At 50.2% G+C, this 25,842-nt stretch overlaps 1 protein-coding gene across 13 annotated transcripts in view, besides 6 other annotated features; it reads left to right on the top strand.

Moving 5' to 3' along the window:
* The window catches only part of SSBP3 (single stranded DNA binding protein 3), a 188,059-nt gene that overhangs the window by 6,440 nt on the left and 155,777 nt on the right, over positions 1–25,842 (top strand). For 6 of the 13 annotated variants that reach the window (NM_001394362.1, NM_001394363.1, NM_001009955.4 and 3 more), the window contains exons 1-4: positions 657–1,098; positions 2,121–2,193; positions 2,414–2,475; positions 5,106–5,190. The exons of 1 other annotated variant lie outside the window; for it this stretch is intronic. In NM_001394362.1, coding sequence (NP_001381291.1) covers positions 1,043–1,098; positions 2,121–2,193; positions 2,414–2,475; positions 5,106–5,190 — 276 coding nt within the window. In that variant the 5' untranslated portion in view covers positions 657–1,042. Of the gene's footprint in view, positions 1–656; positions 1,099–1,722; positions 1,922–2,120; positions 2,194–2,413; positions 2,476–5,105; positions 5,191–25,842 lie in introns of those variants that run through there. 6 more of the 13 variants (NM_001394364.1, NM_001394367.1, NM_001394361.1 and 3 more) reach the window with 5 other exon arrangements.
* Positions 374–773: a silencer, noted in NCBI's record as "silent region_917". NCBI's record gives its function as "represses an Ori minimal core promoter by ATAC-STARR-seq in GM12878 lymphoblastoid cells {active_cell/tissue: GM12878}" and the evidence as "EXISTENCE:reporter gene assay evidence [ECO:0000049][PMID:35858748]".
* Positions 1,151–2,062: an enhancer, noted in NCBI's record as "H3K27ac hESC enhancer chr1:54870662-54871573 (GRCh37/hg19 assembly coordinates)". NCBI's record gives its function as "activates a minimal SCP1, AML or CMV promoter by ChIP-STARR-seq in naive H9 embryonic stem cells {active_cell/tissue: H9 hESC(naive)}" and the evidence as "EXISTENCE:reporter gene assay evidence [ECO:0000049][PMID:30033119]".
* Positions 1,662–1,711: a silencer, noted in NCBI's record as "silent region_916". NCBI's record gives its function as "represses an Ori minimal core promoter by ATAC-STARR-seq in GM12878 lymphoblastoid cells {active_cell/tissue: GM12878}" and the evidence as "EXISTENCE:reporter gene assay evidence [ECO:0000049][PMID:35858748]".
* Positions 14,560–15,079: an enhancer, noted in NCBI's record as "H3K4me1 hESC enhancer chr1:54857645-54858164 (GRCh37/hg19 assembly coordinates)". NCBI's record gives its function as "activates a minimal SCP1, AML or CMV promoter by ChIP-STARR-seq in naive and primed H9 embryonic stem cells {active_cell/tissue: H9 hESC(naive and primed)}" and the evidence as "EXISTENCE:reporter gene assay evidence [ECO:0000049][PMID:30033119]".
* Positions 15,080–15,601: an enhancer, noted in NCBI's record as "H3K4me1 hESC enhancer chr1:54857123-54857644 (GRCh37/hg19 assembly coordinates)". NCBI's record gives its function as "activates a minimal SCP1, AML or CMV promoter by ChIP-STARR-seq in naive and primed H9 embryonic stem cells {active_cell/tissue: H9 hESC(naive and primed)}" and the evidence as "EXISTENCE:reporter gene assay evidence [ECO:0000049][PMID:30033119]".
* Positions 25,456–25,555: an enhancer, noted in NCBI's record as "active region_1063". NCBI's record gives its function as "activates an Ori minimal core promoter by ATAC-STARR-seq in GM12878 lymphoblastoid cells {active_cell/tissue: GM12878}" and the evidence as "EXISTENCE:reporter gene assay evidence [ECO:0000049][PMID:35858748]".

Raw genomic sequence — 25,842 nt, 5'->3', positions numbered from 1 at the left:
CCGGCTCGAGCCGCCCAGCTCTCAGCGTGGAGCCCCGGGCCCGGCGCTCGGAAGCCAGACTGGGCGAGAGGGAGGCCCGGGGGCGGGGCGGGCTGGGGGCCGGGCTGGAGTCTGGGGAGGGGGTCGGGGTCGGAGCCTAGGGGGAGGACAACCAAGAGCGGAGGGCGAGATAAGGGCTGGGCTGGTGCGGGCCGCGGCGGGGGGGAGCTGAGGGGCAGATAAGGGAGAGGGACGGGGCGGGAGGGAGCGAGCGGCGACCGCTTGGGGGTCTGCGCCCCCTCCCATCGGACGCTGCCGCAGCGCCCCCCTAGCCCCCCAGTGGTCCACGCCGCGGGGAGCGCGGGTCAGATCCCCCTCCTCGCTGGGGCGAGGAGACCAGGGTGCCCCCAGCCCGATCCACGTCGCCCACCGCCCCGGCGACAGAAAGAGAGGCTCGCGCCCCCGGACGCCCCCAGTTCGCCTGCAGGAGCAGGCAGCGGCTCCGCGGAGGCGGCCGCAGCGGGGACTGCCGCGGCCGGCGCTGTCAGGGCGTCCCTCCCAGCCGGCCCGGGCCCGCCCCCGCGTGCGCCGATTGGCCGAGGCGGCCATCCATCGCGGGACGTTGCCGCCCGCCTCGCTCCCTCGCCCGGGTAGCCACGTTCGGTTGAGCTCCAAGTAGACCAGCGGCGGCGGCGGCGGCGGCGGCGGCAGCGGTGCTGGAGGCGCAGAGGGCGGCGCAGGCGGAGCCGGGCGGGCGCGCGAGCGAGCGGAGAGCGGGCGGCCGTGCGGGCGGCGGCGGCGGCACCCCCAGGCCGAGCCGGCGCGGAAGGAGTTCCAGGGCGATGGGGCCGCGGCCGGGGCTGACGCTTTGACAGCTGGAAAGAGCGCGGAGCCAGCGCCTGGGGGGGAGGGAGGGGAGCGCGGCGAGGAGAGCGCCAGCGAGCGAGAGAGCGAGCGAGCGCCGGGGAGGGGGCCGGGAGCGAGGGGCAGCTCGGGAGAGCCGGAGCGGTAGCGGCGGCGGCGGCGGCGGCGGCGAGGCTCGGCGCCCTCTTCCCTGCAAACCATGTTTGCCAAAGGCAAAGGCTCGGCGGTGCCCTCGGATGGGCAGGCTCGGGAAAAGTAAGCCCTATTTTGCAAGTGGCGGCCGCGCCGCCGCCGGGCTGCGGGCGGGCGGGCGGTGGGAGGCAGGTGGGCGGGCGGGCGGGGGCCGGAGGCTGCTGCGCCCTCGGGTCCCCGGGTCCAGGCGCCGCCTGCCTGGCCCCTTCCCCGAGGCCGCGGCGGGCGGCGTGGGAGAGCCCATTGTTGGGAGCCGGCGGAGGTTGGGGGATCGGGGAAGGGGCGGTGGGGGGAGCCGCCGGAGGGGGTACTTGGTGGCCGTGGCGCGGGTCGAGCGCGGGGGCCCGCGGTGAGTGGTGGGCGAGGTCCCGCCAGCGAGCCTCGACGTTCTCCCCAGCCGGGCGCTCCCCGCGGTGGCCGCACTTTGCCCACCGGGTGCGGGCAGGGGGCGCGTGGCTTCTGCAGCCCCGAAGCCTCCTTTTGTCCGCCCGCGGCGTGAGGAGTGCGTGCCGGGGGCTTTGTTCGGCCGGGAGCGCTCTCCCTTCCCTGTCCTCGGCTTCGTCACCGGCTCCGCGTCCTCGGACGCCGGGCTGGGCAGCGACGGTGGTGCCGGCTTGGCCCCAGGCTTGGGGCACAGTTGTTTGGGGGGAGGTGACGAGGGTGGCGCTTTGCTGCCCTCTCCAGAGCGCGCCAAGCACCCGGAGTCCAGGGCCGAGTCTCCTCGGACCTCCAAAGCTGGCGAGAGCGTAGCGAGCAGTGGGTCGGGAAAGGCAAGGTGGCTGTGGGGTCGAGTGGCTTGCGAGTTTGAGGAACCTAGGTGGGTTTGCCCGCGACGCCACTTGGAAGTTCAAGTTTGGGGGCTGCTCTCCATCCCTCACCGCTTGAGGTAACGCGTTCCCTGGTCCCCACCCCCTAACTGTTCGCACCTGGCGGCCCTGTTTGGGGTGAGCTAGCTGCTTACCTCTGGTCGGGGCCACAATGGGACGGCGCAGACAGGGCTCAAAGCCTGCTGGCAAGGTCCTGGAGAGCGCCGGTGGGATCTGACGCCTTTCCCTCTCTCTCTTTGCCCCCTGTCCACTTTCCAGGTTAGCTTTATACGTCTACGAATATTTACTGCACGTAGGAGCACAGAAATCTGCACAGACCTTCTTATCGGAGGTGAGTGGGACTCCCCCCAGCATCCAATTTCTTGACACCCCCCCCCCCCACTATTCTTAGAGCCTTTGTTTTCAGGAGCAGCCACTGTGGCCACCATTTTGAATTTTTATCACCTTTTGGCATTTATTGTTAGTTGGTCTTCCTAGCCTTTTGGCTCTGGGAAGCCCCCAGCCCACCCCGTCTCTGCTCCTCTAAGCTGCTTCTGCTCTTACCTTTCCAGATTCGATGGGAAAAAAACATCACGTTGGGAGAACCGCCTGGGTTTTTGCACTCGTGGTGGTGGTAAGTTTGTGTGATAGTTTTGCATGTGTGTTTGTTTTGTTGTGAGCCCTGGGTCCAAGTGAACAAAGAAGGGAGGCTTGGAGCAGGCCCTCCGCCCTGTGGCCCTCTGCGTTGCACAGAGCGGGGCACCTCGAGGCACTCCGGCCCAGCTGGCCAAGGAGGAGAAGGGCGGAAGAGGATGTTACCTAAAGTTTTGGGGGGAAAAACGACAAAACCATCTGTGGTGTTGGGGTAGAAACTCCTTACTTTTACATTTCACTCTGGGGCTCTAGGCAGGGGGTTTGAAAAAACATTGGAGGATTTTTGTCAATTCTGCATGTTGCTTTAATTAGAGGAGTGGGGGTGGGGCGGCGTGGAGGGGATACCAGGTCTGTTTTACAACTAGCCTGTCCCTTCCTTTTTCTCCTCGGGAGCTCACAACCTTAAGAGAGGACATCTACCGGGGCTTTTTCCAGGCACCCTGAGAAAGAGCAAGAAAGGGCTGCCACTTCCTTTAAAGATACTGATTCAGACTGACTGGTCCTTCCTTTCCTCTGGGAGCTCCCCGCCCCCCTCCCCCACTAAAACCACAAAGTGTTGTTTTACGCAGAACCTTAACTGGTCAGAGTCGACCTCGCAGTGTCTGCAGTTAGGGGCTCCCACTCTCTGTGACTCTCTAACCAGGCCTCTGTGTCCTTTGGGTGTGGGGCCACCGCAGGTCTGGTCTCTGTGTTGGGTATATGACAGCCAGGAGGGAGCTCAGGGTCAGCCGGAGCCAGTTGCCCTAGGTATATGACCCGGGTGTTTTGTGGGACTGACTGGTGGAGTCTTTGACATCCTTTTGAAAAAGAAAAGAAAGCAGAGTGGCTTTTGATATTTTGATGGAGTTCAGCAAAACGGTGTGTCCTGTCTCCTGTCGTTGGGATCTTAGCGGGTTTATCTGCCAGCTCAGGTTACTGTTTTAAGTCTCTTAGAACAGCAGGAGGATGAAGTGTCTGTTCTAACTTGTGCAGAGAAAATGAGTTTTTAATTACTTCTGCCAACCTCGGAACTGCCGGTCTTGGAGGCATTTGTGTGGCGGAAGGATTCCACCTGTAGGAGTGGGTGATAGGCTTTCTGTGGCTGTTTTTGGAGGGAGTGTGTGGATGGGGTTGGCGGCTCTGATCGGCTTGGATCTTGTAGAAACTTAGGTTTATGATTGAAGGTTACTTAGGCTTATGAGTGAAGGGGCCGGGGAATTTGTAGTGTTAGAAACCTTTAACGTGTGGAGGAGGTAAGCAGATGTGTACAGTTCCAGAAGACAGAAAGGAATGTTCTCCAGCCCCCCTCTGCAGCTAGTAGAAGTCCTGATTTTCCTGTTATATCCAGAATCTCCTGAAACTTCTCCATCCTTATCTCAGCCGCAGGAACGTAGAGTCTGTTGTGTTAGGCCCGGGCGGTGGTGGCTTTGAGTGGCTGTGGCCCTGTTTGGTAGAAGTTGGTTTGTGCGATTTGACACTGAGCAAATGACCCAGGCTTTCTCCAGCGGGAGGAAGCAGTGGAGCTTGTCTGGTGAGGGGCAGGCTGCATTATTCACACCTTGAGTGAGATGCTTGTCTGATGACTTGCAGAGCTGGCTGTTTGTGACGAGGACAAGAGCAGTGGACCAGGAGTAGGACTTTGGTTTTGGTGCCCACTTTACCCTTTAAGCTTGTTCTGTCCCTGGGCCTCGGGCTCCTGATTTGGAGAGTTTCTTAGGTCCCTTGTTAATATCACTGACAACTCCGTGTTTGAATAGGGCTTTATTGGTTGACATAGGACTTGTATGTCTGTTCTCATTTTAATACAGAATGTCGGAGTGACCATACAAAATCTTTAGTGGGGGGTGAGGCAGGCATTTCTAGGCCTGCTTCCTTCTTTCCCTTTGCTGACAGGTGCTTCTGTGAAGAGGGCCCTCTACTGCAATGTGAAAGGACTGGATACTTGGTTGTCCATGACCTGTCCTTTGCCTAACTGATTTGTGTTTTTTGGTGCATGGAGGGAGGAGTGGTTCTTGCATAAGAATTCCTTGAGGGAGGGCTTGGGTGGGAGTGGGGGTGAGGTGGGAAGGGTGGAGGTGCGGGCTCTGGGATTAAGAGCCTGTAAAGTTCCTATTGCCAGAGTCTTCCAAATCGCGGCATATATGAATCATAGTTGTGTTCTGACTTTGGCACTTGAACCTTTTTTAGGATATGCAGCCATTTTGGTTTGGGTGGTAAAAAGGAAACAGATTAGAACAGTATGGATTCTCGTCCACATTTGCGTTCATCCTCCTAGGGCATCCATGAGTAGGTTCTACTAACCCCTTGGAGCTTCAGTTGCCCCCTGTGTAAAGTGGAGAGAAAATTGCCTACCTTACAGTATATGGTAGACACAAGTAATACGGGTGTGAAGCATCCGGCATGTAGTAGGTATTTGATATATAAGAACTATTACTGCCATTACTAATGGCTGGCTTGCCAGAAGAAGTTGGACGTGTTTTGTTTTCTAGGCTGTTTGCCCAATGAGAGCTGATAAGGTGGGATTGAGCCTTTGGGAGACCTAGTACTGTTAGCGCCATGCATCGTGCACTTGCCCTTGTGTACACAAGTAATAATTAGTAACCTGACCTTATTTTATTTTCCTCCTCGCAGTGTATTTTGGGACCTTTACTGTGCAGCTCCTGAAAGGAGAGACACTTGTGAACATTCAAGTGAAGCAAAAGCCTTTCATGATTATGTGAGTAACATATTTTTAATCCTAGCAATAATTATAGGGTTGGATAGCTCTAACTTCTCTAGTACGAAAAGCAAACACAGCCAGTTCGCAGTGGTCTTTATTTGCTTCTTGCGTTTCTTTCTGTTCCCCTGCCCACCTCTCTGCAGCCCTCCCAATGGTACCTTTCTCCAGCAGTGTTCTAACTTGGTGAACGGTGTTTCATAATGTTGTAATTGTGCAAAATTGTGTAGATATCTATCCGGAGAATTAAATGGTGTTGTACAGGACTCAGAACTGTGAGACTTATGTTAAGAGTGGACAGTTAGCTGAGAGGGGACTAAGCCTCTTTAGTGTTGGTTTAAGAAGAAATTGTAACAAACAAAAGCCAATAGGAAACTTGCGTTTTGGAGTTGAGTGAGAATTTGGTGGAATGGACTCTCTTGCTCTACTTTCCAGAGAGCGATCTTTCAAATTATGGGTGTGTGTGTGTGTGTGTGTGTGTGTTTGGTGTGGGTGGGCTCATACTGTATCTGCTAAGACGATTTGTACTCTGAGATCCTCAGCTAGTTCATAATCTTGTGGCCAAAATATTCTTGTGAAGCTAGTTAACATCAGATTGTAGTTCTTTCTACCCTGTTACTCACTTTCTACCTGGATGAGTTTCTTAAGATTTATGAAATTATTACGAGAGGGTTGTCTGCCATCTATTCATCTCCCATAGCAGTCCCCTTCAGGAAAAACAAACATGGGTTTCAAACCTGGGTTGCAGTCACACTTGATGATCTGATGAAATGGGTTAGGATCTGTCTTGGGGAGATGGAAGAGGACGTGTCTGAAGGTCTTCCATAGCCTCTGTTCAGTTCTTCTTGCTAGCCCTGTAGACAGTTAAGCATGTCCATATAGCAGGTGATCTAATGGTCTTGCTCTTCTGTGTGCAGTGGGTAGGAATGATCCTGGGAAACCATGGGTCCTTGGGAGTTGGTTTCTTGAACGTCATTGGGTCCCACCTGCTTGGCCCAGCCATCTGAGTTCCCTGCATGTGGAGGTGGAAATTGGCTAAGAGACCAGACCCATCTGGTTATTTCACAAGTGGTCAAATCCCATGATCACCAATGTCTTCATGGTGAAAATTTCTCCTGTAATGTGAGGAGTTAGAGACTCAGGTGGTGGCCTACTGGTTTTGAGAATATTCAATGTGATGCAGTTTTGTTGTGAATGAAAAGTTAATGCTCTTGGAATGTAACGCTGAGGAAATTGAGCAGTTCTTGTTCCCTCTTCAGGGCTGAAAAAGAGAAGCTGATGAATGGTACTTCTGGTCTGGTAAACTTGCATGGTAGTGAAAGGGAGAGGTCACCACCGGTTCACTTATGATGTGGTTCTTCTGGGAAAATCCCATGGTGATGATAAGGTTTCCTGACCTGGATGTTCAGGGAGGCTAAGAGGTACACAGCCATATAAAAATAGTTGATGAATTTGACCTTTCTACCTAGTAAAAATCTTGCATGGTTTTTTTCCTAAACCTGTGAACAGCCAACACTGTTGCTAGTTTTTGACTGCTATGTAAATAGTTTCATTTTAGAATCTGGGGATGGGTGGGTGGGTCTTTCACTCTCTTGATGTAGCATATCTATGCTATTTTTTGCCTGTACCTTTCAGAGAAGTTAATGATTTTAACCAAGTTCGGTGCTCTACAAATTTGAGAGTCTTTGGCAACTTGTGGTGTCGTCTTCCATCCTGAAACAATATGGCGGCCATGAAAGTTTGCACATGGGTTTGCTTTCAGTAATTTGCTGAGGAATGGCAGTAGAAATGTATAGAGATCACTGAGGTTGGCGTTGACATTTAGAAGATGCTACTAAGAGATGAGGTCACCCTAATTGAGGCCTACACTTCATATGTGTGGGGTGTAAAAACCTTTTTTTTTGAATTGGGCTCCACCTGGTATCATGTGGCCTGAGAGTCAGAGCCTGTGGGAGGAGGGATGGAGTGATGAATGGGGATTATGAAGGCGTTAAGGGGTAGCATTGAGTTGGAGGGGTGACAGCAGAGAAGCAAGTGGAAAACTAAGAAGAACTTCAGAAAATTAGGAAAAGGAGCCCACTTTTCTTTTTGTCTTTCTCCAGTCTTCATCTAGTCTCTCCCTTCTTGTGGCTACAGTCTAGTTAACCTTCATTCCTTCTTGCTAGAATGATTGCAGTAGCTTCTTGCTGACTCCTTCCTCTTGCCTGGAATGCATTCCTCTCTTACCCATTCAAATCCTATTCATCTTTTAAGACCTCCTTCTTGGAGGACTTATGAGATAGTTTTCTGCATTCTGTGATCACGCCTTCATCTCCATATCTATAAAAACCACCTATACAAAGCCTCTGTTGGCAGCTTTCCGTGTGCCAGGCCACTCTGCTAACTGCTGTAGGTTCAGTCCCTCATATCCTGCCAGAGACCCGATGAGAGAAGGCTTGTTGTTCACTCCATTTTGCAGATGAAGCAGCTGAGGCACACAGTGGTTAATTCCCAGCTGGGAAGTGGTAGTTAGAATGCACACACATGGAGTCATGACTGACTCTGGAATGGGTGTTTCTAACACCACCTGGCTTGGCCCTGCAGGCCCATGGCAAGTACCATTTGTTGGCACTATTCCACCTAACTTCTCACTTAGGGTTGTCTTTCGGGCGACAGCCTATTAATTTTTTCCATGGTGGAGACCGTGAACTATTCATCTCTGTAGCTCCCACAGTACCTTCCATGTAGCAGGCACACGTGCTGATTGTATGAAGGAGTTAGGTAAGAATGAGTAAGTCACTTGCGGGTGAGTGAGTCTTGAATGGTGTTCTTTTAGAGACATAATTGTTGCGGGTGCTCTCGAACAAGGTGATTTTGAAGTCAATTAACTAGTTGCCTTAACTACTTTTTAGAAAATCAAGTAGAGTGTAAATAAGTGTCTGTTGACTGACCTTCTGTTTTCTATCAAGGAGATCCAAAGATTCTCAGGGTGTGGGGAGTTTGTGCAGCCTGGATACCAGACCCATCTTCGGTGGGTAGGAAGTGCTTACAGGGGCAACGGGAGCATTGGGGGAACTCACATCTGGAGTGGACTTTTCTGATAAATTGGTTTGCATTAAATCAGAAGAGGTCCCCCGGGTCATGGGAGGAGGGTCACGGGAGGAGGGTCACGGTCCCATTGTAATTTCCTTGCTGTTACCCTCAGGCCAGAGCAGTGCATCTCAGAGTGTTGACAAAAGCCCATGGGATCCCATTGGGGCATCTCTTTGGGTTCTCTTAGACACTGTTGTCTGGGTCCTGACCTTTTGTAGAGTGGACACTTTCAGCTGCATGAGTGTCTCTAACTGTGTGCCCAGAGGTGTCCTGGCCACCTTCTCCGCTTTGACTTTCTCCAGGGTGGACCTGCAGGGAAGTGTCTTTGGTGCCTTCTCAAACAACAAGCAATCCTTTTTCTCCATGTGGTAGCTAATTTTGTGTTTTCCTTTTGATGTCAAGAAATGAGTGGAATTTGGAAGGCCAAGAAATGAGTGGCCTTTGAGCCAAAGAGACTAGAGAATAGCAATGGATTCTTACACTACACATACCTGCTGTACTTTTTTATAACATGTTTTCATGTGTGTGATTGTGGCTGGGCTTTGCAGCTGCCTCGTCGGTTGGGTTTTGTTACAAAATCTCACTCCCATTTTACAGATGAGGAAACTGAACCCTAGAGTTTAGGTGGCTTGTCCAAGGGCAGGCAGCCAGGTGTTGGCAGAGCTGAGACTAGAAATCCTCTATCTTTCTAGTTCTGCCTCTCAGCTTTTATTGACACTTACTTGATAAAGAATCCCTGCAAAACAGAGGGGAGGTATTTGCAGTTGACCTGAAGCATACCTGGCACCGGGTATGCTGGTTGGTGCCCCCCGACATGTTCACTGAAGAAATGAACTTAACAGAATTGAACGGAAGCCCCCGCAAGGTGAATTGTGGAGTCACTGGCAGAGGCGAGACCTGAACTCTGGGAAGGGGGTTTGTTGTGGTGCAACGGCTCTTAACTTTTGGCAGGGAAAATGTGATAAAAGCTATGGACAGTATTTCCAGAAAGCCCTCATAAAGGGGACTTTGTGCATGGTTTCAGGAGGCTCATGGACAGCTGCTCCAACCCCAGGCCTCTCTGATTCCCAGTGAAGAACTTGGGGAGTGAAATGGACATGGAGTTCCATGACCTTGATGAATTTTCCTTGCTTGCCTCAGTTTCCTTTCTCTGAAGACCTGAGTTCCCTTTCATCTTGGCTGTTGTGTGCTCCACCTCAGTGAGGCTGGCTCCCTGGCCCTGTCCTCCCACTCCAGCAAGACTCTGCTCTCCCACCCCAACAAGACTGCTGACTCCTCCCTCAGCAGAGGGGAGACTTTGCCTTGAGGAGGGTTGGTTAAAGTAGGAAAGTGCCCCAGAGTCATGGGCGTGGGCAGGCACTGAGGTATTTGTGGCTGTGTGGCAGGGGTCCAGCGTCCTTGGTGGGTTTGAAATAGCAAAGTGATATTTGAGAGGGCTCTCCTTGGATGTGCTGAGCTGAGGTTCCTGCCAGGCAGGGAGTGTCCATGCCTGCCAGAACCCTTTCGGGGGAGGGGGACAAGAGGGTGGCAGTGCAGGCTGGAATAGGTGGAGAAGGCCTGCAGCTGGGCTGCAAAGAGCTGGGGGAGTGTGCTGCCCTGTGATAAGCCAGGCTAGCTATCTGCCCAGAGGTCCTGGCAAGTTCACGGCGTTGCCTTTGGCTCTGACCCTTGGCACCCTTGTGTGGCAGATTAAAAACACAAAACATACACACTTCTTTTTCCCCTCTCCCCCATTCCCCTTGGAGCATAGGCTTTGGGTTGCAGCCCCTCTTTAAGCTCCCGCCCTGTTTTCTGCAATTCCTCTTAACCCCAGAGGCTGCCAGACTCCTCCATCGGTAGCTAATTAAACATTAAATGAGAAACTGGAGTTGCATTTTGCCAGCACCCGAGCAGTGCAGCCACCTTAATGGGTTTCAAGTGGCGGCAAGACCCCAAATTGCAAATCCTTGCCCTTTATTTCAAGGCGGGAGGTGGGGCGGGGGGAGTGGTGGGGACCCAAACAAAATTTTTGGCAGTGGTCACTTCATTTGAACTCCCAGAGCAGCAGTGTGCACCAGTCTTTCGCATAATGCCATCTTTGTTAGCTAAGCATTTGCAAACTTGGACCAAGAGTTAGCTCTGTGCCAGCCAGCACTCAGAGGGAGCTGGGAGATACCCAGCTCTCCCCACAGTTCCTTAGGTCGTCTCTATTTTGTGAGGGAGGCAGGGTCTCGAGTGGGGAACCCTAGTCAAGGGTGCCTGGCCCCCTTCCCATGACTTCCCTGCCTCTGTATGTGAGTGTGTGTGTGTTTAAGCCTTAACAGGGAGAAGTGGCAGGGAGGTGTGTGTACTTGGGGATCTGTCAGCCAAGATAACAGAAATGTGGCACTAGCTGTAGCCTTTATAATAGTGTCTGAGGGTTTAGAGTATTTAGAAAAATTAATCTTTTTTAGCTTGGTAATAATTCTGACCACGGCACAAGTGCATTAGACTATTCACATAAACTTCTTTAATACATGTTGCTGGGAGCTCTTAGAGCAAATAGACAATCATGACTGTTTGTTTTTGATTCGCTGGGGTAATGGGGTTGTTTTTTTTTTTTTTTTTTTTTTTTTTCTGAGATGGAGTCTCACTCTGTCACCCAGGCTGGAGTGCCATGGCGCGATCTTGGCTCACTGCAGCCTCCGCCTCCCGGGTTCAAGTGATTCTCCTGCCTCAGCCTCCTGAGTAGCTGGGATTACAGGCGCGTGCCACCACACCCAGCTAATTTTTTGTATTTTTAGTAGAGACAGGGTTTCGCCATCTTGGCCAGGCTGGTCTCGAACTCCTGACATTGTGATCTGACTGCCTCAGCCTCCCAAAGTGCTGGGATTGCAGGCGTGAGCCACCGCGCCTGGCCGGTAACGGGGTTTTTTGTAGCCTTGGCAAGGTGAGTTTTAGCAGTGTTTGTGTCTGTGTTGTGTATTTCTTTCCCTGGGTTTTGAATCCTCTGGATTTTAAAGGATTTGGGTTGTGACTGGTGGCTTGGACTCCCATGTGAATTCTAGTCTCCACTTTGTCATTTCTTGGCTGGAAATCGTCAGGGATCCTCATTTCCTGGCCGGGAGCCTCAGTTTTCCCATCTGTAGAATGGGGGAATGCTGATTCCTTTGCATAGTGGTTGTGAGGGTTAAGTAATATAGTACAGTCATCCGTCAATATCCAGGGAGGATTGATTCTAAACCCCCCCACCGCCCGTCCCTGCTGTCATGTCTCACCCCTGCACCCCCTCAAGGGGCAGAGCTGGCAGTCCTGTCACAGACTGGTACTGATAAATGGCGTCTCTGAGATGTCTGTGCACCTTATCTGTATTGGGCAGAATGGTCCTGTCCCACTCCTGCATATGGCCACTGCATGGCTAAATGGTAAGGCCCAGAGGGCATGCAGCTTGGCATCAGTAGGAATCTAGATTTGCATTTCAGCTTCATGTCCTTGTTAGCTGTGGGGGGCCTTCATTTCTCAAGGTCCATCTCTTTACTGTAAAATAGGCTCAAGGGTTGTCCTGGCACAGCCCACCATGGGGACGGCCTTGAGAGAGGCATGGAAAGCTGTCCAGGGAAAGTTGGTTGTGCTGTGAAATCCTGTGTCATTGTTAACAGGGATGAAATGAGGAGTCTTGCACTGTTCTCTTTGGTATGTATCCTGCCCTGGCAGGTGCTCAGACTGTGCCTGATTTTTTTTTATTGTATAAGGGAATCCCCTTTTATTGTATGTGGAAATCCCACAAAGGCGATTCCCACATACAATAAAAAAAAAAAAAGGAGTCTTAGCCGGGCGCGGTGGCTCACGCCTGTAATCCCAGCACTTTGGGAGGCCGAGGCTGGCGGATCACGAGTTCAGGAGATCGAGACCATCCTGGCTAACATGGTGAAACCCCATCTCTATTAAAAATACAAAAAAAATAGCTGGGCATAGTGGCAGGCGCCTGTAGTCCCAGCTACTTGGGAGGCTGAGGCAGGAGAATGGTGTGAACCCAGGAGGCGGAGGTTGCAGTGAGCCGAGATGGCGCCATTGCACTCCAGCATGGGGGACAGAGCCAGACTCCGTCTCAAAAAAAAAAAAAAAAAAAAAAAAAGGAGTCTTAAGGAGACAGTGAGCTTGAGAAGGGAAGTGTCAGCCATGGCAGGTCCATGGGAAGCTGGTTCTGGCCACATTGGCTTCTTTTTCTTTTGACTTCCTGGGGTGACCCTGAGGCCTTGATCAGTCGGCCCCCAGACCAGGAGAATAAGACACTACCGTATTTTGAGGTTACCAAGCTCCTACTATGCTTACTGTCTAGTTGAAGAGACAGATGCAGTCCAGGATGAGATGTGGGCTTAAAAAGAATTGTGTGGAATGATCTTGTTTTTCTAAGAGACCAAGATACAGTCAGTATGGAGTTGGGGGGGCAGTGGGGGGAGGTAAACAGTCCCACCCCTGTGTTGTAACGAAATATATATTTATCATAGATATAAATAGCAGGATTGCAGGTGATGGAACTGGAGGTCACCTAGTGTTCTTTCAAGTAGCTAAAGAAACATGCGCAGAGGGAAAGGTGCCCTGCGTGAAGTTTCCAGTAGAACTCAAACCTGCCTGCAAGCCTAATCAATAGTCCAGGATGCTTTCTTTCCTTTGCCTTGTTGCAGTTACGAGCTGTGCAAACATGGACACCTTAAGTAACCTCTGAGCCTCAACTTCCTCGGGTGGAAAATGGGGTTAATAAAGTATACCAGGCCGGGCGCAGTGGCTAACTCCTGTAATCCCAACACTTTGGGAGGCCGAGGCAGGCGAATCACTTGAGGTCAGGAATTAGAAACCAGCCTGGCCAACATGATGAAACTCTGTCTTTACTAAGAATAGAAAAATTAGCCAGACGTGGTGGTGGGCGCCTGTAGTCCCAGCTACTCTGGAGGCTGAGGCAGGAGAATAGTTTGAACCCGGGAGGTGGAGGTTGCAGTGAGCCAAGGTTGCATCACTGCACTCCAGCCTAGGCAATAGAGCGAGACTCAGTCTCAAAAAAATAAAAAAATAAAGTATGCCTTTATAAGGTCATAAAGATTAAGTTTACACATATACACACAATATATAATAGTGCCTAGCACAGTGCAAGTTCTGCATAAATGTGTGCTGTCATTTTTCTTTTTTAATTTTATTTTTAATGTTTTGTAGAGACGTGGTCTTGCTTTGTTGCCTAGGCTGGTCTTGAATTTCTGGCTTCAAAGGATTCTACTGTCAGGGCCTCTCAAAGTGCTGGGATTATAGGTGTGAGCCACTACACCCGGCCTGTGCTGTCATTTTTCTTACCTCACCTCCGGCCTGGTCTGAGTTCTGGCTTCCTGATGGGCAGTGTTCTCAGTGATTGATAATAAGGGGCCAGCAGAATGACGTTGGGGTGAGAGGTGTGTGCCTGTGAAGCGTGAACCATCATGGGCTAGCTTCCCTGTTGATCAGCTCTCTGGATCCCTGGGTTTCAGGTACCCCTGGGGGATTGTGGGGGCAAGTCACATTATGTTCTCCCTGCCCCAGTGATTGGAGGAGCAAGTCACATATGCCGCTTCCAAACCAGCCCTGGTGCTTGTGAGGATGAGAAAACAGTGGACGCACAGATGCTTCTGGCCTGTGCCTGGCCTGAAGTTGCCCCATCACTGTCCATTTTCTTCTCTCCTAGTGACTTCTCATTTTCTAGGAATCTGGAACAGGTGCTTTCTCCAGCCACTTTGGCCTCTTCACCATGATTCCCGCTTGGTACCATACCACCTGAGAGGGTTTTTTCCTCCCCTGCCAATTATTCTTCTGTAGAGCCAATGCTAGCCTGGAATGTGGCTGCCTCCACCAGGCCTGCCAGGACGACTCCTATGGGAAGACATCCCTCTTCTGTTTTTTCCCCAGGAACTAACTCTGTAACTCTCCTAGTCGTTTGTTACCAGCTGCCTGGAAGGAGAGTTATTTCAGTTAAGGTTGTGTCTCTTCCTTCCCCTTTCTGGAATGAAAGCTCCTTGAGGGGAGGAACTTTACTTGCCCTTTCTGCCACCCCATTCCTGGGGCCTATTGCAGGTCTTGAATGCATTCTGGGGTCTGTGAGCAAGGCTCTGAGCCTTGAGAAGTGAGAAGGATTTGATTCCTGCCCAGGCATCAACTGTGCTAAGTACTCGTTTTAATGAAGATGGACAAGGGGCACGTGGTGAAGCACTGTTTGTAAACTGTGAGCTGTGACCCATTAATACATCATGAAACCAACTTAGTGGGTCATGACTGGTAATTACCAAAAAAGAAACAACCGTATTACACAGAGTAAACACAAATATTGTTTCTGGAAATGTCTGTTTTCAGTGATTTATGTGTGCATATAAAAGTATGTGTGCCCTGGGTTTGTGTTGTAGTATTTGCCTTTTTTGGGGGCTCAACGCAAAGTCAGAAGGCCACTAGCCCAGAGACAGCTGAGACTGAATCTTAGTTCCTACAAGTTAAGTGACTTGGGTCAAGAGACAAGCAATTGCTGAGCCTCAGTTTCCAGATCTGTACTAGAAGGAAATGATCCATACCTTAGAGAGTTCTCGGGAAATTGTTTCCCCACCACATGTTGTGCTTTCAGAGTGGTGCCTGGCGGGCACTTGGTACCGTTGTCTCTGTGGTTTGCTGCCATAGTCTTAGTGCATTGAACACACAGAAAATCCCAACAGATGCTTGTTGAAGGCAGAGTAAGTAACAGCTCCCATTGGAGGGGGTGGGACTGTGGCCTGGACCACTCTGGAGTGGGCGCGGGAGGAGAGGGCCTGAGAGCGCAGGGACACTCTTCTTAATAGCGGAGTCCATGTGGCTCTCTAGGCAAAGCTGGAGGAGTTTGCAGCCTGTCCCTGCTGGCTGGCTGTGGGGCAGCTCCTTCTGCCTGTCTGTGATTGAGGTGGGTGGGTGGAGGGGGTTCCTTGCCCCCCGTGGAGCTTGCGTCTGAACAGGGCTTAGGCAGTGGCAGTAGTGAGAATAGGTCGTAAGGCATCCTGTCTGACCGAGGTTGACCCAGCCTCCCAAATTCCCTGTCCCCTCCTGGTGACAGCTGTTTGCACAGCTTCCAGGGCAGGTTTTGTGTCCCCTGCTCTTTGTGTGTTTGGGTGAAGCGCCTGACATTTCACTTCTGTTTCACAGTCCTCTGACCTTAAGAAGCACAACTGCTCCCTGGGGCCGCTGCCTGAGGTTTTCCTCTGATCCTTCTTTCCCAGTCACAAAAGGCTGTTTGAGAGAGGAGGCAGTGGAGAGGGGGGAGCAGGCCTCTCCCACATTCTGGGATACTGCTGCAGCGCTTTGAGCTCTGAGAGGGGCAGAGCGTAGCTTTATAGACCGGATGGAAATGGCAGATGGTTGGTGGGCAGTTATTGCCCGCTGCCTGCCGGGCTTTGCCATTAGATGCAGTGTTGTGGGCTGTACATGGGATTTGGACTTGGATGACCAAGGTACAAGATCTGATTCTTTCAGATGGCCTTGGGTAAGTTGTCTGGTGTCTGCAAAATGATAGGAAACAGTGGCCGGCTTTTTTCTGCCCCTCCAGCTTTTTGGAAGTTGGGTGAGAGCACGTGAAAATGCTTTGTGAGTTGTGGTCCCCTTTGAGAAGGCTGTTTCAGATGTGCAAGAAGAAGGAGACACTCAGTTTCCAGATGGGGACACTGAGGCTGGTGACACAGCAAGCCTGGGGCCACCACTGACTTGAGAAAACCTCCACCTAAGAGGCTGGCGCCCGTGTCTGTGTCTGTGCCATCCTTTAGGAATTTTGCAGCTTTCTTTGGGAGAGGCTGAGAGCTTCCTGTGGCCTTTGGCCATCCAGCCGGTGCTGAGGGGGCAGATGGCCCAGTGGGCAGGCCTGGTGCCGGGCGTGTGCGCACTGCCGGTCTCTGCTCGCCGGCTTTTAGACGGCTTCCAGTAGAAAATGTTCTCCTCTCTCTGGAGGCTCTTCCTCTTGGCAGCGCTGCCCGCCTGCCGGCCAGATCCCACTCGGAGCCCGCTTGTGTTACGGGCGGCGGCCCTGGCCCGCAGCTCCGGGCAGGGCTCTCCACGATCTCCGCGCTGGTGAGCCGCTTCAAAAGGGGATTTTACAGCATGACAGGGAATTTCAGCCACCACGTTATCTCCGAATTGGCCAATTGATGGTTTCAGCAGAGCATTTCAGCATCGGGGAAGCCAATACAATTTGAGTTAGTTGTGATGGCTGCCACTTTAAATACCGCAGTGAATTTCTGTCAGCGAGCTAATGCGTGGAATAGGGAATTGCAGAAAACTTGATCATCAGAGTGCTTCAGTCGATTCTGACCCCAAGCTACAGAAAATGAACTTAAATCTAGTTGACTGTCGCCACATACTTTCTTTGGTGTTATTTTGCTGGCAGCGTCTTCTTCAGAGAGAGCTGGAAGAGAAGAGACTAGGAGGAAATCAGGATGTTTGCCGCGGGTCCCTGGGATTTTAGAGAGTGACAGTCTTCATGGGAGGTTGACCATTGGGAGTTGGGGTGGTGAGTTCTTGGTGAGGGATAAATTTCTAAACGACAGCATTATGGCTTAGTAATAATGAGTTTTCTATTTAACAAAGCAAACCAGTGCTTATTGAGCACTTACTATGTGTTCAGACCCTTAAAAGGCATTCTTAGGTATCTCCCTGTTGGACAATGTAGGGGACAGGCATTCCTCCCATTTCGTGACGGAAGAACTGATAACAATAGCAAACAATTATTGAGTGCTAACCGTATGCCAGGCACTGTTGTAAGTGCTTTAGGTTTTGTCTATTGTCATACTCAAAACAGCCCTGTGAGTTAAGTTCTGTTATTCCTATTTTGTAGAGAAGGAAATGAGGCACTTAGAGGGATTCAGTCATGGGCAAGGTAGACTTAATAGGTTTGTCTTCTTAATTTAAAAAAAAAAAATTTTTTTTTTTGAGACAGGGTCTTGCTGTGTTGCCCAGGCTGGAGTGCAGTAGCATGATCTCGGCTCACTGCAGCCTCAGCTTCCCCAGGCTCAGGTGATTCTCCTGGCTCAGCCTTCCCAAGTAACTGGGACTACAGGCATGTGCCACCATGCCCAGCTAACTTTTCTGTTTTTTTATTTTTTTATTTTTTTTTGGTAGAGACAGGGTTTGCCATGTTGCCCAGGCTGGTCTCAAACTCCTGGCCTCAAGCAGTCTCCTGCCTCGGCCTCCCAAAGTGCTGGGATTACAGGTGTAAGCCACTGTGCCTGGCCCAGATTTGGCATCTTTTCTGTCTCATTAATTGATGACCCCCTGCCCAGCCTGGAGTGGTTTGATGCTGAGGCTGGCAGGACCAGGTGGGTCCTGACGGAGATGAGCCAGCTGAAGCCTGGCCTGGGCTCATAGGGTTCCTGACTGGTGCGGTGCTTCTCTGTGGGTAGAGGGATTGGGCTGGTTTTTAATGACCTCGTCCAGGAAGAAAACATCTTGGCTTTGGGACCTATGTGACTTAAAGAAAAGGTTTGCTATCTCTTCACTCAAAAGGCTCCCTTTTATTAAATCTCCTACCACCCCCTGTGGACTCCAGGCTTGAAAATATTTTATTTACAAAGAGATTGCATGCATTGAGTCACCATTAATTTTAATGAAGAAATGTGGAAAATGAGAACTATATAGCTGCTGATGAGACTTTCTCATCAGCTCAGGGGAACCAACGTGAGCACACCAGGTTGGTAGAACAGAATTCTAGTCAACAGAAAAACATTGGAAATTTCAGTTCCATTTCAATTGAGGCAGACCCGATTCTTCTAGAACTTAAACAATATTAGCAATGCCTCAAGAGCCCCCAGTGAAGTTTTCCAGAAACCTGGTTAGAATCCTTAGGCAGGACCCACCTAGCAGTGGTGCCTTCTCACTTTGTCCTGGCATGGCCAGGGTTGACCTCTGTAGAGGGACATCCCTCGTGTTTCCCCCAGGACTGAGGAAGGTTAGAATGCAGAGTTCTCTCCGGAGATGGCTGAGCTCTCTTTAGGCCCATCCACCCCTGCTCTCCTGGCTGTGCATGCAAGGCTTCTCTGTTAGGGCAGTGCAGCTTGGAGGGTAGACACACTGAGGGTGTAAGAGCCTGTGTGAACAGCTCCCATCTGCAGAGCCTCCTCTCCTTACAGATATATCCCAAGGCAGGGGTCCCATATTCCCTGCGGTTCTGAGCTGGCATTACCTGCAGCAGATGGATCACTGGACAGCGAGTCCGGAAATCATCCTTCTCCACCAAGCTTTCCCACTTAATAGCTTGGTAACCTTTGACAGATGATTTCTTTCTTTCCTAATTTGTAGCATGGGGACAGTGAGGGATACAACAGCAGTTTCTGAAACAGCAGTGACCACCATTTACTGCATTTACCCCAGGCCAGGCACTGTGTGTGGGCATGGCATTTAATCCCGGTAACACTCTATAAGATAGGGGCTGTTATGACCTCATTTCTCCGATGAGGAAGCCAGGGCTCAGAGAAGTGAAGGCATGAGCCCGTTGTTATGAAGTCATTAGATAGTAGAGCTGGGATTTGAACCCAGAGCCCCACTCTACCTTTGAGCCATGCTGCTACTTTGACAAACTTTTGGATGACTTTGGGAGATGGGGACCTTGGGGAAAAATGCACTTTGAAAGAATTGGATCATTTCAGTAGAAACCTGTAAACGTGTGTCTTAAAAAAAAATGTCAGTGACAGTTTGCTTCTCGGTGAGATGAATGCAGATAAACCTATTTTGACTGTTAACTTATTTTGTTGCTTAAAAGCCAGTGACATGTAGTGTTGAATTTATTTTTCTTCACAACATTTAAGTGTTTGCCACTTCTTGAGTGACGTGTGTGAATTTGGGAATTGCCTGTACTTTGGGAATGGAGGCCGTTGCTTGTATGTAAGGCTTTTGCCTTAAGAGGGACTTTTGGGAAGGCTTGTTCTGGCTCGGGGCCTTGCTAAGAAGCGACTCGAGTGCAGCAAGGGTACCTGTGTCTGAGGATATTGATAGAGCTGAAGCTCACTCTGAAGTTGGGGTCATGGTGGAGAGCCGATCGCAGGAGTCTTTGTGACTGGAAGCCTAAATATTTATTCTGTTCTGTCCCTAATGAAAACAAATTGTCAACAGTTGTTCGGTAACTGACTAAATTAAAATCTGTAATTAGTCAATTAGATTAAAGAGTTGGCACAACCTGATTGTATCATGCTGGTTAGGTTATTAAGAGAAAGGGTGTGATTTTTAATTACTGAATGCTAATTTTGACAGTTTCAAATAGAAACAGACGTGTTTTTCCCCTCTTTCCCTAATTCTGAATGGTTTGGAAAGTAAAGACACTCAATGTGTAAATGATGTTTTTTTGAAGAAAAATAATCCGAGAAGGCCCTTCTGTAGAGTAGGAGGGATTTCAGCAAAGAGCCCACGTTGGATTTAGTTGAAAGGGTTAGTTGGAAATCCTTCCTTTCTTGAAGAGGCATGGCTTGGTTTTTGGCAGCTTCGTTTTTGCTGTCAAGGAGAGGTTGGATTTCAGCTTTAAGCAGTCGAATCATTGAGTTCTTTTTAAGGGTCTCCCCGATTCTCTCAACTTCAGGCTTTTTTCTGGCCAGTGCCCTGGAAACTATAAGCAATAGTAAACGATCCAGGGAGGAATCCCCTGCGAAGGAAGCCCAGTGGGCGCTTTGGGACACTAGCACGTGTGAGTAATCATACCCAGTGTTGTATGAAGTGTCTTCTCATACACTGGCATCCCAGGAAGACAGACGGATGGAACGGATGTTCTTACTTCATGGAATAAAAGTTTTGCTGACTGCCTGAGGAAAGCTGAGAGCAGGGAATGAGGTGCCCCGGTGTGGAGGGTCAGGGGGAGAATGTACTCGGGGTGGGTGCTGACAGGCAAGAAGGAGGGGACTCCTGTTGAGTAGTAAGTAGCTGGGGATGACAGGAGAGAGGCCTCTTGCTTGGGAGGAAGATGGGATCGGAAAGTAGAGCCAGTTCAACTGGGTGAGGTGGTGTGCGCCTATAGTCCAGCTACTCAGGAGGTAGAGGCAGGAGGATTGCTTGAGCCCAGGAGTTGGAGGCTGCAGTGAGCTATGATCATGCCTGTGACAACATAGTGAAACTCCATCTCTTAAAAAAAAAAAAAAAAAAAAAGTAGGATCAGTTTATACATTGTGGATTGAAGCTAGCCAGAGAATTTAGCACAATTAGGGTAGATGGGTTTGAAGATGGGGCAAATCCTTCTTCCCACTTTGTTTTTCTGGCGGATGCTGTGTCGTTGCTTCCCCTGCTGACACTGGAATACGGGATATGAGCAACCTTGGAACTGGGGGTGAGAACACCTGAGCTGCTTCCAGCCAAGGGCCCCAGTACAGTGTGGATCCCCTCATTGGCCAGAGGGACCATCCCATCTCCCCATCCTCCCCAGCTCCTGGGAGTTGATGATGTGGACCGCTCCATAAGGTGCTGTGCCCGTGGGGCATTTTATCTGAAGGATAAAATGTATCTGAAGGATGTCAATCCTAAGAATAGGCTCATGGGCCACTGCAGGAAGGCCACCCAGCCCTTGCTTTTCCTTGCACAAAGGAAACCCCTCCTTCTGTGGGGAGCGAGGGGTTGAAGCTGTAACCCTAGGCCCCTGACTGCCCACTGGACAGCAGCATCCCTGTCTTGAGGGAGAGCCACCCTAAACATCTGTGCCTCTAGAACTGCACTGAACCCCACACTGCATGTTAACACAGTCTCTACTTTCTGGATGGTTTTCTTGTGGGCTGAGTCTTCCATGATACTTTTTGAAGCATCAGTTAAAATGGCCTTTAGCTTTCAACATGCAATATTTAAAGCTGTGGGTGATCCAGAATGGGTCATTTTTCTTTGAAAAAGGAAGCGACTTTACTTTTTGTGTCTGATGAATATGGGGTACTGGGGAACCAAGGTGCAGAGAACGAGAGCTTTTGAAGGTTAAGCAGCCTGGGTTCTAATCCCCACAAGAGCGCCCCCATCCACAGTGTAACCTGTGCCAGTTGATTAACCTCTGAGCCTCAGTGTCCTTATCTGTAAAATGGGGATTGTACTCAGCCTGCAGTACTGCTTTGAGATAATGAAGCAGAGCATGTTAGAAGATATTTCAGGAATGAAAGAATGAGAGGCTGAAAGGAAGGTATCTGTGCTTAGGGAGTGATTCTGGGGCACGTTTAGAAGCACGAATAAGTAAGAGGAGTGGAATGAAAAGCAGGAAGTATTTATGAATGGTGGACTGGGGTATGTTCTGAATTTGGAATTCCTCCTTCAGACTCAGGATCCATAGCCAAGGTTAAAGAAACCCATAAGAGGTTGTGTGTGTGTGTGTTTGGGGTTGGGGGCAGTGGTAGATAGAAGGGAAGGGACAGTGCTAGGAGAGAGAACATTTTAAAAGCTTCCCCACTGATAGATTTGTAGCCCTGGGTAAATAGGGAAGCTTGTAAAACTTGATTCATTTTCTTCCTGAAGTCTGTTTTTGGTGGGGAGCAGGGGTGAGGACAAAGACAGCTAAGGGAGCCAAATGCTTTTAGGTTAGGAGTGTTTATATGTCCCCAGCACAAGCCATGTCCTTGAGAAGGGCCAGGGATGTGTTTCATCCTGCTCCCTGTCCCCAAACGATCTTTCTCTTCCTAAGTGCCAGCTTCCCTAGTCCATCTGGGGAGGGACTGCCCACTGCCTGCCATCAGGGGCTGTGCTCAGGCCTCATCTAGGGATCTGCGCTCAGGATGACTTCCTACTTCCTTCCTGGCCTGCGGTTTGCTCTTTTCTTTTGGTTAGGAAGTATGTCCTTCCCTGTCCCTGCCCAGGCCTACTCTGGAGACGTGGACAGGCAGCTGGGGCCACCATTAGCCAGAGAGGAGACAGGGTGTGTCGACAACTGGAGGCCCATGTGAGCTGTTCAGGAATTAGAAGCTACTGCTCTTGGAAAACTGCTGCAGAAATGGAAAGGTGGTCAATGGGGAGAGGTGAGAAGGTGATGGGCCTTGTATGTTGGAAAAAAAAAATTTAGAGGGACTTAACGGAATATTTCTGTGTTTTGAAATAAAAATTATTTGGGGACCTAACATTAAAAAGACATCTGTGTATTTTTCTGTTAGGGTGGAATGTGAAGCCTGAGATTCCTGGGCTGTAGTTAGAGAAGGGCCAGCTCTCTGCCTTGGGGCCTTTGCACAGGCTGTTCTCCCAGCTTGGAGCACTTGCTGCCATTCTTTCTCCTCTCAGGGAACCCTGTTTATTTTTCATGTCTCAGTTTAGACATCACATAATTCTAAGATGCTTCTAATAATCTTTGAGCCTCTGGGGGCAGAGCCCATGGTGGGTCTTGTAAACTGAGGCCCTGACGCTTGGTGGATCCCCACTCAACATTTGTTGGCTGAAAGAGTGATCAGGGAGGATCAGGAGGCTGCCCACCTCCCAGGGCCCCTCTGTGCAGTCTGTGCATTTGAATGGTTCCCTGAAGTCTTAACGCCCTTAGAACAAGTCCAAGTTCGTCTGCTCAGTTCGAGCCCTGGCCTTGGTGTTTGCCTTTCTTTTCTGAAGTAGGTCTTTGACACATCGATGGAGCTTCAGATGTGAAGTGTCCTCAGAGGTGTGTGGGAAAATGCTCTCTGTTCAGTTAACCCAGCCTTTTGACAACTTCTGAGGCCTCTCGGGCTAGAAGCCCCGTGACTGTTCTCCTGCCCAGTTCTTGCTTTTTTTTTTTTTTTTTTTTGAGATGGAGTCTTGCACTGTTGCCCAGGCTGGAGTGCAGTGGCACGATCTCTGCTCACTGCAAGCTCCGCCTCCTGGGTTCATGCCATTCTCCTGCCTCAGCCTCCCAAGTAGCTGGGACTACAGGCGCCTGCCACCATGCCCGGCTAATTTTTTGTACTTTTAGTAGAGATGGGGTTTTGCTGTGTTAGCTGGGATGGTCTCGATCTCCTGACCTCGTGATCCGCCCGCCTCGGCCTCCCAAAGTGCTGGGATTACAGGCGTGAGCCACCGTGCCCGGCCGGTTCTTGCTTTTTATAAAGGGGGCTGGGGAGTGGGTGGACAGGGATGTGATCCTGGAATCCAGAACTCCATCACTCAGCCTGTGTCTTAGTGGGGTGTTAATGGAGGATGATGGAAAATAGCCCACTTCTGATTTCTCTCTCTCCCTCATAGCTCTGTAGAAATATTTTATTATTGAACACCCTGTAATTCAGGGTTGGTGGCGATTTTATCAGGTCATACAAGTCTACAGTTGACCTTTGCATTATCTAAGAAGACTTGTGTTTGCTTAGCCAAGGATAAACAAGATTCCAGTGTGGGTGGCTTAGGGCTTGGAGCTGTGGTCTCTGTGTGCAGGGTTGCTTCTAATTGTGAATGGCTCTTATCTGTTCTTCAGGGAGGGTCTAGCCACACTGTAGTACAGGGACTTCTTTATTTCTTTTTTCTTTCTTTTTTTTTTTCCTTTTAGAGACGGAGTCTCGCTCTGTCACCCAGGCTGGAGTGCAGTGGTGCGATCTTGGCTCACTACAACCTCCGCCTGCCGGGTTCAAGAAATTCTCCTGCCTCAGCCTCCCGAGTAGCTGGGACTACAGGCTCACGCCACCACGCCCGGCTAATTTTTTTTTTGTATTCTAATAGAGATGGGGTTTTACTGTGTTGCCCAGGCCGGTCTCAAACTCCTGAGCTCAGACAATCCGCCCACCTCGGCCTCCCAAAGTGCTGGGATTACAGGCATGAGCCACTGTGCCCAGCTGGGGCTTCTTTCTTTTCTTTCTTTTCTTTCTTTCCTTCCTTCCTTCTCTTTCTTTCTTTCTTTTCTTTCTTTCTTTCTCTCTCTCTCTTCTTTTTTTTTTTTTTTTGTCATGGAGTTTCGCTCTTGTTGCCCAGGCTGGAGTGCAATGGCACGATCTCGGCTCACCGCAGCCTCCGCCTCCTGGGTTCAAGTGATTCTCCTGCCTTAGCCTCCTGGGTAGCTGGGATTGCAGGCAGGCGCCACCATGCCCAGCTAATTTTGTATTTTTAGTAGATAAGGGGTTTCTCCAAGTTGGTCAGGCTGGTCTCGAACTCCCGACTTCAGGTGATCCACCTGCCTCAGTCTCCTAAAGTGCTGGGATTATAGGCATGAGCCACTGTGCCTGGCTGGGACTTCTTTATTTCTAAGCCTGCCATCCAGGCTTTTCCAAGGGCCTGAAATGCTTACTGCCTTTAAACAACTACTTTCTGCTAAAATTGTCCTAATAGTATCAGTTTAGGAAGATATTTTATCCAAAAATCCACCCATAGGTCATCAAAGATATTTGTCTTTATCAGATATTCATCTAATCTGTCTAGTCTTCCATTCATCAAATATTTGATGCCTCTGCCGTTTGGCTACGGAAGCAAAGACACCAGCAAATCTTTTGCCCTCACAGACCTCATAGACTATTTTCCTCCCCTTTATCTGGGGTTATGTGTTTTCAAAATGCTAACTGGCTGGGTGCAGTGGGTAACATCTGTAATTCTAGCACTTTGGGAGGCCAAGGTGGGAGGATCGCTTGAGCCTAGGAGTTCAAGACCAGCCTGGGCAACATAGTGAGACCCTGTCTGTAAAAAATAAGAAATAAAAATAAAATGCTTACTGCACATCTGTATTTTTTACTTATTTATTTTTTGAGACAGAGTCTCGCTCTATTGCCCAGGCTGGAGTGCAGTGGCACAGTCTCGGCTCACTGCAGCCTCTGCCTCCTGGGTTCAAGCAATTTTCCTTCCTAAGCCTCCAGAGAAGCTGGGATTACAGGTGCCTGCCACCATGCTCAGCTAATTTTTGTATTTTTAGTAGCGATGGGGTTTCACCATGTTGGCCAGGCTGATCTCGAACTCCTGACTTCAGATGATCCACCCACCTCGGCCTCCCAAAGTGCTTGGATTGCAGGCATGAGCCACCATGCCCAGCCTAACTGCACATCTTAAAATATAAGATATATCCTGTTGGTTCCAGCTGACTTGTCCCCTAGGAAGGCACAGGAATGCTTCCCAGCATCCCCTCAGGGGATTGTGGGGTCACCCTTCCCTGGGCTTGCCCCAGCACCCTGTCTCACTGCGCTGGCCAGCTCTGTCATTTTTGGACTTGTTGCTTGGACTCACCTGAGTTTTGCTTCCTCCTCTGTAAAGTGGTGGTAAATGATACCTTTGTGGTCCCAGCGTGGGTGGGTGTGGACTTGGTTGAGCCAAGTCATTTGAGGGCCTCGGCAAGGTGCCCCACCGAGGTGGGGGTGAGAGTTTGGAGAAAGTGGTGATCACCTTGGTGAGAGCACAAACTGGAGATGTAGCTGAAACAAAAATGTCCTTATAAGGCTGTTATTCTAGCAAAAATGTGTTAAAAATTGGTTATTGGAAACACAAATCTACAAGGACATAAACTAAAAGAATGAAGACTCTACTGACATGCTCTCTCTCTCTTTTTTTTTTTTTTTTTTTTTTTTTGAGATGGTGTATCACTCTGTCGCCCAGGCTGGAGTACAGTGTCACGATATCAGCTCACTGCAACCTCTGCCTCCCGAGTTTAAGTGATTGTCTTGCCTCAGCCTCCTGAGTAGCTGGGACTGCAGGCGCACGCCACCACGCCCGGCTAATTTTTGTATTTTTAGTAGAGACGGA

The sequence above is a fragment of the Homo sapiens genome, chromosome 1 (assembly GCF_000001405.40).
Source record: "Homo sapiens chromosome 1, GRCh38.p14 Primary Assembly".
Taxonomy (NCBI): Eukaryota; Metazoa; Chordata; class Mammalia; order Primates; family Hominidae; genus Homo; species Homo sapiens.
The sequence above is the reverse complement of the archived record's forward strand: the minus strand, read 5'-3'. Positions and strand labels throughout refer to the sequence as shown.